The sequence below is a fragment of the Homo sapiens genome, chromosome 3 (assembly GCF_000001405.40).
Source record: "Homo sapiens chromosome 3, GRCh38.p14 Primary Assembly".
NCBI classification, from domain to species: domain Eukaryota; kingdom Metazoa; phylum Chordata; class Mammalia; order Primates; family Hominidae; genus Homo; species Homo sapiens.
In genome coordinates this window covers 132,073,592-132,087,317 of record NC_000003.12, presented here as the reverse complement: position 1 = coordinate 132,087,317, position 13,726 = coordinate 132,073,592, and the positions used below count along the sequence as shown (strand labels likewise).

At 39.6% G+C, this 13,726-nt stretch overlaps 1 long non-coding RNA gene across 1 annotated transcript in view, besides 1 other annotated feature; it reads right to left on the bottom strand.

Moving 5' to 3' along the window:
* Positions 3,419-3,713: a silencer, noted in NCBI's record as "tiled region #15178; HepG2 Repressive non-DNase unmatched - State 24:Quies". NCBI's record gives its function as "represses a minimal TATA promoter and a strong SV40 promoter by Sharpr-MPRA in HepG2 cells {active_cell/tissue: HepG2}" and the evidence as "EXISTENCE:reporter gene assay evidence [ECO:0000049][PMID:27701403]".
* The window catches only part of LOC105374111 (uncharacterized), a 35,387-nt gene continuing 25,825 nt past the window's right edge, over positions 4,165-13,726 (bottom strand). Inside the window, exon 3 of the long non-coding RNA XR_924489.3 lies at positions 4,165-4,275. This is a non-coding gene — a long non-coding RNA (uncharacterized LOC105374111). The remainder of the gene's footprint in view (positions 4,276-13,726) is intronic.

The window sequence follows — 13,726 nt, the reverse complement described above, 5'->3', positions numbered from 1 at the left end:
CTGAAGAGTTGAAGGGAAAATGTTAAGCTGTAGGCTAAACTTGACTTTTTGCAATGACCAAGGAAGAAACAAAAAGAATTAGCCCCTTTGAAGGTCCTCTGGCAGAATATCTTCTAGTTCCCAATATTACCCCTCTGCCTTTCCTCATGTCTCTCCCTGTCACACAGCTGATTGTGTTTTGTTGTTGTTGTTGCTGTTGTTTTTTAATATAAGGATTGTGATTCTCTGCCCAACTTGTAGAAAATCCCACTCCTTACATTTGGGGCTCCAAAATTCTTGGCCTATATATAAAGTCCCTTAATTCTCCCTGAAATCATCTTCTTTCAAGGAGTTTGAGACCAGCCTCAAGCGATCCTCCAGCCTCAGTCTCTCAAAGTGAGAGGGGCAACATAGTGAGACCCCTGCCTCTACCAAAAATAAAAAATAAAAAACTTAGCTGAGGATGGTGGTGTGTGCTCATGTGTCTACTTAGGAGGCTGAGGTGGGAGGATTGCTTTAGCCCAGGCAGTCAAGGCTGCAATGAGTCTTGATTGTGCCACTGCACCCTGGCATGGGTGACAGAGTAAGACCCTGTCTCAAAAAAATCAAAAACCAAAACCAAAAATCAGCCAAGACCCAGTGGCCTCAGCAAGATTGGAATCCATAGAAGCGGAGAAAAATGAAGCAGGAGCTGTTTTATAAAGGCACTGTGCAGTGGGTTGGATGTAATACCATTGGCAACAGCGGTAGTAATAATAATAATTATAATTATAATGATGACAATAATTATAACATTAGCTAAATTTGCTAGAGAACCATCTATGTGCCAAGAACTTTATAAAAACTATCTATTTGATTTTGAGAAACATCGAGCAATGTAGGCATTATTATCCTTGTATTTTTAGATGTCAAAGCTGTGATTAAGAGAGATTAAATAATTTCACCAAGATGAGACACCTATTAAGAATAGAACTGGGATTTGAACCAAAATAGACATGACACACATGTCTGTGCTCACTCCACAGCATCTGTGTCCTCCCTAGGAAACTTTCAGTGGTCACTGAGCACCTCAGATACCTCCTTGGGAAGACAAAGGATTTGGAAGTTTGAGGTGCCAGGTATTCTCCAGGCTGAAATAATTGAAATAGTAGGATATTCTTGATAACTCTTCTTATAATGCGTGATCTAGAAAGCAAGAATTATGTTAAAATATAGAAGGTGAGTGAATACTTATTTCACTGGGAAGAAGAGCTTTCTTCCTGAGCATTTAAATTTCCCTGTAAAGTCATCCCTCGGTATGCATAGGAGATTGGTTCCAGGACCTCCAGGGTACCAAAATCTACAGATGTTCAAGTCCCTTGTATAAAATGATGCTGTATTTGCATATGGCCTATGCACATCCTCCCATATGCTTTCAGTATCTTGATTACTTACAATACCTGATGCAAGGTAAATGCTATGTAAATGATTATCATACTGTATTTTTAAAATTGTGTATTATTTTTATTGTTGTTTTTTTTTATTTATTGAGAATTTCTGATCTGTGGTTGGTTGGCCTTGTGGATACAAAGGGCCAGTTGCACTGTGGTGCCTTGTATCTTACAGACACATCCCTTAACATTTTTGCTTGAATGGGATGAGGTGAGTTTACTGCCATTTCATTTTTATTTCTGGAGAACCCCAAACAACTGCACTACCTATTTGCAAATGATCATTCAGGAAAAGTATGTTAAACCTGGGTTTATGCATACACTATCTATTTTCTATTTATTTTGCTTCAAGCACTACTTATGGATTTACCTGTATCATAATTACCTCTTGTAAAGTGAATTTTAAAGTATTCATTTTCGTTAAAAATTTGCATGCACATGACTTAAGAGTCAAGTAGTGTTACAAAGTTTGATATGAAAAACAGTAGGCTTCATTTTACTCCCATTTCTTCCTCCTAAGAGGCAACCATTTTCATCTTTCTAAGTGAATACTTTAGATATTTACCATCATATCTCTAAAAAACATGCTTCTGTTAGGCATTATCTATTGGCTTCATAACTTGGGAGGATTTAATTCCCTCAATTTTCATATACCTCTCCATCTTATCACCACACTTTCCCTTATCCTGTACATGAATATAGTTATATCAGTTAGAGCAATACTCAGTGTTTACACTATGACAATGTAAATAATTTATGATTGAGTCACATAGTGTACTAGGATAACTTTTTTGCACTGTTTTTTGTTTTTCATAGTGAAATTATCCTTTATTTGTTTAATTTCCTATGCACCTTTCTCTAAGTGAAGCCAAAAAGTTCCACCAGCTGTCCAAATCACCTCTTGGTACATTCAGATGCATCAGGCACTTATACTGATGACATTTCCTTGAAGAAATCTATCCTGAGTCTGTCTTACTTGCTCCATTGTGGGCTGGTGGGTGCCAGGTCCTTTTGTGTTAGGTGCCAGCTGCTATTCTGAAATGATCCTCCTCATCACCTTGAGGATTCTTGTGTTGTCTCCTCTGTTTCCTAAACTGCAAGTCGTTTTCTTTTTGGTTTACTTTTTGTTTTAATGGAACACATCCACCTGTAAATGCCTGAGAATGGTTGCATGACAGGTAAACTATAGCTTTAGAGATACATGTTTAAGTAGTTAAACTATAAAGTAAGACAAGGAAGTTTAGGACAGTGGTTACCTTGTGGGGCAGATAGTTTTTTGAGATTTGGTGGGGGGTACAATGGAAGCTTCTAAAGATGGCATCTTCTAAAGATGGCAATGTCCTTTTATCCCCCTAACCTGGTTGGTGGTTACATAGATGTTCCCTGCTTGATAAATCATTCAGCTATACATTTTGTTTTCTGCACTATTTTTTATGAGTGATAGAGTTGATCATAAAAAAGGTAAACATAAAAGAAAGGGTTTAAATCAACACTTGATATCTAGTAAACCTTTAATAAAGGTTAATGGTTTAATAGTTAATGGTTAATTAGTAATATTAGCTATTACTATTATTGTAAAGTCACAGTTTCAACCAATGGAGATTTTCCTACTCAAGGAACATTTAGCAACGTCTTGAGATATTTTTGGTTGTTTCAATTGGGGAACAGTGCTACTGACAGCTATTGAATTCAGGCCAAGGATCTTGCAATGCATCCTGCAGTGTACAGCACAGCTCCCCACAGCAAAAAATTATCTGGCCTCAAATGTCAATAGTGCTGAGGTTGAAAAACCTTATATTGTAAAGCATTTCATGTGGTATGTAATGCCCAGATCTCAATGAATGTTCATCCCCTACCCAGCCACAAACTTCATTCTTTTCTTATATCTGTTTACAGCTTTCTTGTCATTTACATCACTGCTTCAATGTGATAACAATGCATAGCTTCTTATTCATTCAGTCAAATATTGGATAAACTTTAACTGGTGAAAATAATGGAATGCCTAGGATTTTCTCTTAAATCGCTTGGTGAGGGTAATGTCCTATTTGCTGGCAATGAGCCCTTCTCCAGAGAGTCACTTAGATATGTTAGGCATATGCTACATCCGCCTCCTTTTCTTCTCAATGATGAGTCATTTCTTGTCTTCATGAAGCGTTTGTCTTGTAAATTCAACTATTTCATCACAGTCTGGTCCCTCAGGCAGCAGTGGCAAATGGTCAGTGGATATTATTTGCATCGTCTTTGCTTAAGCTCCAGGAACTTGGACCAATGGGTGCAATTCAAGGGCCACCGGCACATTGAGCATTCTTTTTCTGGACATATCTAAAGATCTGTTGTGCTAGAGTGACTGGCTTTCTCCAGCCACAATGATCAGATTACTAGATTAAGATAATCTCAAATAATAATAATTACAAAAATTAGACTAGATTACAGATAATCCAAAACTAATGTGTCATTGTTCTGCCCAGTTAGGAAACAACCTTGAAAAAGGAAGAAACTAAGTTTATACTTACCTATGGCATATCAATTTAATGGAACAAGTGCGAGTCAATGATTAACTTAGTTGCTCAATCAAGCTTTATTTGCCTTCAAAATATAAGTAGAATAGTACATTTGAACCTTTTAAGTCAAACAATTTTCTTGTAAGTTGTTTCATCCCTTCTCTAAACCACTCTGCCCCCCAAAACACGCTTGTTAAATGTTGGAATTCCAGAAGGTAAACTAGATACGACTTAACAACTCAAACCATCAGTTTGGACCTATTTCTGTTATCACAAGATTTTGTGCTTTTTCTTCATGGGCCTCAGGCAACAACTCTCTCCTGGAGGATTTCCCTTGATCTGCAGCATCCTGTTAGAAGCAATCCCTGGGTACAAATTTTAAACATCTATTAACGAGAGATTTTGATTATTTTAGTTTGTTTCTTTTGTGCCAGGATAAATAAAACTTCTCTTTCTCTGTAATATTATATTTGATCATTGTTCAAGACAGTTATTCATGGTACAATTAAAATAGCAAAGATTTTGGCTTAGTTGGATCTGAACTCTGCCACTTACTGATTGTGTGGGAAAATTCCCTTAACCTCACTGTGCCTAAATTTCCTCATCCGTAAAAGGAACAGGTACTTGTCATGGTCTGAACAGCTATGAAAATGGGGAGGGGGATTTCATGGGATTTTAGATGGGCAATTTCACCTAGAAAGGAATGTGGATGAGATCAGCAATTATAAACATCACTAAATAGCTAGGGACTAGAAATCATTTCCTGAGGAAGATCTGAAGACTTAAAATTTAGTTTGGCCGACTATAAAAAGAGAAAAAAGGAAGAGAAAGCAACTTTTCAAGTATCTATATGCCCAACATATGGTAGGTTACATTTACACATTTTCACCTTGTTTCATCCTTACAATCATCCTACAAGGTAGGTATTAGTTTGCTCCGTTTTCAGTTAATCCATAGACTTGCCAGAGAGTTATGCCATGGCCTAGGCCCCTAGGCCCCAAAGATGAGCTGGACACAACAGATCCTTGCTGTGGATGTCAGAAGAGAGAGGGAGAGAGAGAGAGGAAGGGAGAGGGAGAGAGAGGCAGGGAGAGAAAGAGAGAGAGAAAGAGAGAAAACCAACTTAGCAAAAGGAGCAGAATTGGAGAGTTCCTGAAGAGGACGTGATGGCACTTCAGAGTTACAAGGATGTGGACACTCTTGATGCAGGAAAATTGGTTAGTCAAGCAAGAGGAAGACAGTAAATCCTAGAGAGAAACTTGGGAGGAAGGGAGGGAGAGAGAAGGGAGATATAGAGGTAGTTGGGGGTTGGGAGAGGGGAGAGAAAGAGAGAAAGAGACAGAGAGAGGCTATGTGGCTCATGAGACGCTTGGGGAGAGAGAGTATTGTGTCTCCATGGCTGACTGAGGTCCTATTAATTCTGCATTTCTGAGTTAAGTGTATCCCTACCAGACATGTGCTGATTCAAAGATGAGATATTGGGAGGCTGAGACAGGCTACAGTGAACTATGATGATGCCACTGCATATAGCCTAGGTGACAACGCAAGATCCAGTTTCTAAAAAAAATAAAAATAAAAAGGCCAGGCACGGTGGCTTACATCTGTAATCCCAGCACTTTGGGAGGCTGAGGCAGGCGGATCACTTGAGCTCAGGAGTTGGAGACCAGCCTGGCCAACATGGTGGAACCCCATCTCTACTAAAAATACAAAAATTAACAGGGCATGGTGGCCTATGCCTGTAATCCCAATTACTTGGGAGGCTGAGGCAGGACCATGGTTTGAACCTGGGAGGCAGAGGTTGTAGTGGGCAACTCTTCACCACAAAATTGCACCACTGCACTCCAGCTTAGGCAACAGAGTGAGACTCTGTGTCAAAAAAAAAAAAGAAACATTTAGATTGTTGGGTTGTTGTACTCTGGGGTTGTAGTTAACATTATAATATTACAAACAAACAAATACACAATCCCCAGCAAGCCTCTCCTGATTGTTGACTGACAGCAAGACACTGTGCTTATAGACTACATGGATATAAAGGATAAACTTAAGATTTGTCGGCCGGGCGCGGTGGCTCACGCCTGAAATCCCAGCACTTTGGGAGGCCTAGGCAGGCAGATCACGAGTTCAGGAGATCGAGACCATCCTGGCTAACACGGTGAAACCCCGTCTCTACTAAAAATACAAAAAATTAGCCAGGCATGGTGGCGGGCACCTGTAGTCCCAGCTACTCAGGAGGCTGAGGCAGGAGAATGGCGTGAACTCGGGAGGCGGAGCTTGCAGTGAGCCGAGATTGCGCCACTGCACTCCAGCGTGGAGACAGAGCGAGACTCCATCTCAAAAAAAAAGATTTGTCCTGGGGCTTCTATCTGCATACTTTCCCACAGCTTGCTCCTAAATTCCAGGCTTTGCCAGGCCAGTGAGAATGAGTGATGGTGGGGTTCCTAATTCTGTGAAGCTACACACTGTATTCAGGCCTGTATTAGTCAGGGTTCTCTAGACGGACAGAACTAATAGGATAGATGTATATATGAAAGGGAGTTTATTAAGGAGAATTGACTCACATGGTCACAAGGTAAAGTCCCACAGTAGGCCATCTGCAAGTTAAGGAGGAAGGAAGCCAGTTGTGGGTCAGTCCAAGTCCCAAAATCTCAAAAGTAGGGAAGCTGACACTGCAGCCTTCCGTCTGTGGTCAAAGGCCTGAGGACCCCTGGCAAACCACTGGTGTTTAAGTCCCAGAGTCCAAAAGCTGAAGAACTTGGAGTCTGATGTTGGAGGGCAGAAAGCATCCAGCATGGGAGAAAGATGAAGGCGGGAAGACTTAGCAAGTCTGCTCTTTCCAACTCTTTCTGCCTGCTTTATTCTAGCCATGTTGGCAGCTGATTAGATGGTGCCCACCCAGATTGAGGGTGGGTCTGCCTCTCCCACTCCACTGACTCAAATGTTAATCTCCTTGGGCAAACTCTCACAGACACACCCAGGAACAATACTTGGCATCCTTCAATCCAATTAAGTTGACACTCAATATTAACCATTACAGGGCCCAAAGCAGAGGGTTATTAATACCTGATCAACCCTCTCCAAGCCCCTACATGTTAATTGTCTACTCTGCTCCTTTCCCTTAATGCCAGGCCAGTTCAACAAAATATTTTAACAACAAAACAATTCCCAGTGGTTGTAGCCATCACTGTGGAATTTCTCCCCACCCTTACCCCTTACCATTTGCTTGTTCTTAATTTTCTTTAGTTCTGGATCTTCATACTCTGATATCTCGGTTCTGTAACAATGAACTTGACCTCACTCCTGGTCTTCAGAGCAAGAACTTTGTAGCTGGACTCTCTAGTGTTAAAATTTTGTCTTCAGAATTTTCCTAACACCCCTGTGGTTCATCATGCTGCCTGAAGTCCCCTTGGCAGCATCTGGACCATTCATAGTTCCTTACAAGAGGAAGGGAGAACTCACATATCCTCTTGAGGTATATTTTTAACATCTGCAAGTAGTGGTGGGGCAAGTAGCTACTGAATAGGGCAGCCTGTACATTGAGTCCCTTTCTTGAATGCACTGAGATAGAAGTGAGAGGACAGAATTTAAATGAAGTAAGAATCCTGGGGTTCTTGATAGCTAGTGAATTCCCCCCGGTCACTGGAGACCTCAACAGGATACAGAAGATAAGACTGGCAAATAAGAGGTTTATCTTGATGCCCCAAATAACTTAGGTGAATGGCAGGAATGCCATCATTCTGATAAACTGATTGATTGCTTGGTTCAGTCATTAATTCTTTTGTTTATCACACATTTATTAAATACCTACCATGTGCCTGGAACCCAGATTAACAACAAATCTCTTTTGCATCCATGAAATTCTTCAGCCTTTCTTTTTTCAAAACTAAGCATTGTATACTGTGGCCAGATGTGAGGCCAAGGGTATGAACAGGAAGGCCCCATTTTCACACTGTGCTAGTGGCTGAGAAATTACCAGGATAATTAGATTTGCCTTCATTTCTTAACAGCTAGTTGCACGGTGCAATCTGAGCTCTTGTGGAGGTAGCATAAGCACTTTAGAGGACAGTTCATGTGGAAAGAGTTCTCTGCTGAAAAGATAAGACAGTCACAGAGCAGGGAGTATATCCCTTGGCTTGGCCAGTGTCTGAGTCATTCTCTATATTCAGAAACTACAGAAAAGTCTAAAACAGAATTTCACATGGTTTGTAATCTAACTTTACAGATATAATCTTGTATACAAAATGAGACTTTATAAACACATATATACAGCATTTCTGTCAGGCTTTTCCCACTAACATTATATCTTGAAAACTTTTCCACATCATTAAATAAGTTTAGAATATAATTTTAGTGGCTAAATACATTCCATTATTTGGGTGTGCCTTTATTTAACCATTTTTATTGATTTCAATTTTTTCTTTATTATAAGTATTGTCTCATGAATAATCTTTGCACCTCTGATTGTTCTTTTAGATAGACTTTTTAGTTAAAATACTGGGTTTAGGGCTTTTAACTTTTTAAAGCTTTTGGTTCCTACTACAAAAGTTTTTGTTTTTCAGGCCGAAAGTACCAAAATGCACCCCATCAGTGATGTATGCAAGTAACTGGCAAACTGTACACTCTCCAATATTGTATATTATTTAACAAATTTTCTATTATTGAAATAGTTACTGAATTATCTATTGAAGATTAAGAAGAGCTTCTTGCTAAATTTGAACGTTTATTACCCCTTTCTGAATTATTAGCCTGAGAAGTTTGAAGAGAGTGAATCAGGTGTCCAGAAAGCCATCATTACTTTCTGTGTTCTCTGATGTGACTTTGAATTGCTGCCAAGAGACATTATCAATGATTCCTGTTCTTCGCTCTCACCCCCTCAAAACTCTTGACTTGATGACATGCTGATTTTTCTCTTCTCCTTCTGGTTTATAAAGAAGTCAGAATGTACTTGGGGATATGATATGACTTGGATCTGCTGATTGGGATCTGGGAAGGGAAAGGTTACTCAGACTTTCTTATCTACACAGCATTTTGACCCTGACTTAAAATTGACCTCATGAAGACAGTCCCAACTTCAGTTTGGTGATACCTACAGATGACTTCAGTTATATTCAGGGGTGTCATGAGATTTTTTTCAGAGGCAGTTACATATAATTTAATTTGAAAATTAATTCAAATAAATCTTTTAAGAGGAGAAGAGAATATGAAATTCATGAAGTAAGATTTCTCAGCTCCCTGAAGATTGGCAAAGACTTCTTTAATGGCAAAGGATGCTTTTCTATGCTGGGTGATTTTACACTGTCAGGCTGAGGACAGTGAAGTAAGTTTGACTGAAATGGGACCACAGCTGTGATTATCTGTTTACTGAGATACTCTAGAAGTTTGGGGAACAGAACTAATTCTGGAAGCTAGAAAAGGTGCAGCTTGAATATATAATGTTGTGTCCAAATAATATGGCAACAAACACAAATATAATAATACTGGGTGGTCTGAGTGGTGGGTTTCACCCAGAAATAATGGAGATATCCTAACAGGTAGGCATAACACAGTGTGAAAACAGATGACTGTTGTGATCTTACCAAGGTGATTGTAATTTTAGGGAAGTCTTTCATAAGATTTTATGTGTCTAGACATTGTGAATATAGGACCACAGCTCTAGTTCCTTTCTACATGGAAATAATAAGGTAGTTGAAAAATTTACAGAGATTGGAATCCTAGGCAGGCTAAGGAGGAGAAGGCCAGTTACACAGATCAGGGCATGAGGTTGCCACTTCATTTAGAAAAGATGAGTTCTGAAAATAAGATGTGTAAGCGGCCAACAAACATATGAAAACGTGCTCAACATTTGCATCAGAGAGATGCAAATCAAATGAGACACCACCTCACAACAGTCAGAATGGCTATTATTAAAGGTCAAAAAATAATTGATGAGGTTATAGAGAAAAGGGGATGCTCATACACTATTGGTGGGAATGCAAATTTGCTTAGCCCTTGTGGAAAGCCACTGGAGATTTCTCAAAAAACTAAAAATAGAACTGCCATTCAACCCAGAAGTCCTATTACTGGGTGTATACCCAAAGGAAAATAGATTGTTCTACCAAAAAGACACATGCATTTATATGTTCATTGCAGTACTATCATAATAAAAACATCAGGGAATCAACCTAGGTGCCCATTTATGGTGGATTGAATAAAGAAAATATGGTACATATACATCATGAAGTACTACACAGCCATAAAAAAGAATGAGATCATGTTCTTTGCAGCAACATGGATATAACTGGAGGCCATCATTCTAAGCAAATTAGTGCAGAAATGGAAAACCAAATACTTCAGGTTCTGACTTACAAGTGGGAGGTAAACACTGGGTACTCATAGACATAAAGATGGCAACAATAGATACTGGGGACCACTAAAGCAGGAAGGGAAAGAGGGGGGCAAGGGTTGAAAAACTGTTGGGTAGTATGTTCACTACCTGGGTGATGTGAACAATCGTACCTCAAACCTCAGCATCCCACAGTATACCCATGTAACGAACCTGCACATGTACTTCCTGAATCTAAAATAAAAGTTGAAATTACATATATATTAAAAAAGGAAAAGATGAGTTCTATAACAGAGTTCATGGCCAGAGCTGCTTTAAAACCCAGGTAACAAAGTTGGGTAATGGAATGATGGGTAAGAGCTCTCATAGATAATGGGTGAGAGCTCTAGATAATCTCCCAGTTCAGAACTGGTTTGGCCCTAGGACAAGCTGGCAACTGGGGAACCAAAAGGGCCCTGCTGTGGGGTGAAGCAGTTGTACTTGGATTGGGACAAGGCAGGCCTGACACTAGACCAGGAAGACAGCACAGATAATGCAATTTATGGTTTTGTCCCTGTTTGGTATCAGCACAGCATCCTATATTTTGAATGTATAGACTAAATTATGACAATTTTTCATTCATCCCTTTTACTTTCCCTTTTCTCATCTATTTTTCAGAAGCCAATCATCAACCTCCTATTGAGGAGGAAGAAATGAGAGGCCTGAGAAGGAAAGTGCATCAAACTCCCCTTACTAACATCATACCTGTCAGGAAGGAAGCAGATGAGGGCTGTGGGGAGAGCCCATCCATCTTTTGTCCACGTGGGTGTTCTTAAAAAAGTGATTTATGATGCCAGAGCAGTCTTCCGTCATAGCACACTTAGCATTTACTATGTTCATAACAAGTTAGAAAAGTTTTGTGCAAGCAGAGCTTGGGGAAAACAACTCTGAGTTTAAGAAATTCAGTTTAAGAAACATGGAAACATACTTTTCACTCTACCCTGGTCAAAACCTGTCTACTCTTTAAAGCACATGTAATATCATGCAGTGAACAGATCATGGACCTTGGGGACCAAACAGACCTGGGCTTGAATTCTAGTTTCACTGCTTGTTAGCTGAAACTGATCCTGTTTCCCCATTCATATCATATCTACCTTACCTGATTCTGGGATTGTTTTGCATTAGTTTGTATAATTCTATTGGAAACTCTTTGTAGAGAGAAAGTATTACACAAATAAAAATGGTTACTGAGTGAAAAGAACCATCGAAATAATGAATCATCCGTTCTCCAAGCTAATCTTCCACCTCCAACTCTAACACTGGCTAAAATCTGGAGAGAAACTGGGAAATGCTTTAGGGTTCCAAATCACCAGAACTAAGTCAAAGTCAACTAAAAGTGCCATTCACAGACATCTTACATGCAGTCATATGCCAGGAAGGGAAGAATTAGCAGGAGGAGGCTTGCACCCAATCTTTCTCTTTATTGGTGCAATGCTCCAGAAAAGAAAGAAGACAAGAGACCCAGTCAAATATCCTGGTTAATATGCTAAGTGTGGACTTCTTGGAAAATAAGCTCAGTCCTTGTCAATAGAAAGCTTTTAGCAGGATTCTAGAATTCTCATCATAAACCTGGATCCACAGATTTATGGATCTTGGCTCCCTGGAAAGTGGTAGGTAAGCTTGTCACTATCTAAGCATAGATGACTTGTTCTATAAGTGATGTAAATTGTGCACATTGCTTAGAGACTCATAGGTAAATCTGAGCCTTGAGTGTTAGCCTGATGTGGCAAGAAAAGACTTTGAGGGCAGCATTGAAGGTACCAGGCCTTTCCTTGCTTTGCCTGTGCTTCATGATTATGTACATCTTTGATATCATTAGTTAAGCTTGACTGATACTGAGTAAGACCTCTGATTCATGTTAGTCTGATTTTACCACGTGATCCTCTGTGTTATCTCATATACCTTCCTTAAAAATGTGTTGAAGTCCTCAAAACGGCAATTACTTGCTCATTATTCCTTGGAGAGAGCACATGTTTTCATGGGCACTAATACAGCTGTATCCTGGACATGGCTTAATGACACAGTGGGAACACCTGCCTCCCTACATCTAATGATACAGAGAAAGAACTGACGGAAGGAGTGAAGTCCAATTCTTTTCTCAGCCCTTTCTCTACACTTGACTCCTTCTCCACTACCCTCCGAGGACCATATCCACCAGGTCTTTCTCACCAGATGCTCTGTCTCAGTTTATTACTTCATTAGGCTTCATTAGCATTCATTGAGACTAATAAAACACACTACACATCCACAGTTTGTTATCTAATCCTCACCACTCACATGCATGTAAGCATCAGTGTAAAGTTTCATGCATTGGTAGAAGTGTTGTCTTAAGAGTTTTTCATCCACAAACATTTAACTTCCTGCTGTATCCTGACTGGGGAGAAATGCATTCCTAAAACCTTTGGCAAATGGGCCTGTTATATTTTGTACTGTTCTGCTTCTATAAATTTATTCTATTATAGGTGTCCTTTGTATTAAAAAATTGGTTTGAGAGCAAAGGAAAAAATGTTTCTGCATGTGAAGAATGCCATCTTATTCCTATTTTTTAGAAGTATGTATTGAAAGCTTTGGAAGGGGAAGAGTCCTACTGAGGATAACTGTACGTCCCTTTCATTAGTCTCATTGTGCCCCTTGGAAAGACAGTAGTAAGCAATGTGGTGGGATGGTAAAACTTTAAGTGAGACAGTTTGTTAGGTGAGAGGCCCTCTCTTTTATACATAGGAACTATATGAGCTTGAGCCATCTTTTCTCCACCCTGAGCCTCATTTGTCTTATGTATAAAATTGAAATAAATGCATACATCAAAAGGTTATTGAGAAAATGTGTTGGTGAATGTGAAAACATTTTGTAAACTATAAAGCACTACAAAAAAATATTTGATATTTCAAGTAAAAAGGGCTTGATTATTTTCTGGGGTTTGTGAGTTGTCCATCTTACCCCTGCCCCCACCCCTGATCAGCAGCTCCATAAACATTTAATGTGGGAAGTTAGGCTCTATCAGGCTCTTGGCAGACCATCTGCTAAGTGAATCCTGAGATCTGTTCAAAACAGAGCAGAAATTCAAGGGACCAAGATACATATCCACAGGCATGCATACACATAGATATGCATACAATTGTATACATATATGCACATATACACAGACATCCCTTCCCCCAAATCTCAGAGCTATGCTTTTTTTTCAACCATGTAGTGAAAAAGAAAAAAAGCTGGTTGTTTCTCCCACAGCTATTTATAACACCACCTGGGAAAGCAGTTTTGGTACCTTACAAGCTGGTGTCTAAATGTTGACTTAGGAGTTAATGATGACTGGTAAGTCCAAAGGGAGAGGAGAACCAGGACAACCCCACAGAAAGGGTCATCTGGGAGTAGAAATCAGGGATAGGACTTCAGATGGCAAGGCTCTGCTGTCATCTTTGTGCAGACTTTCTGATCCCTTAGCTCTGATCCCACCTCTG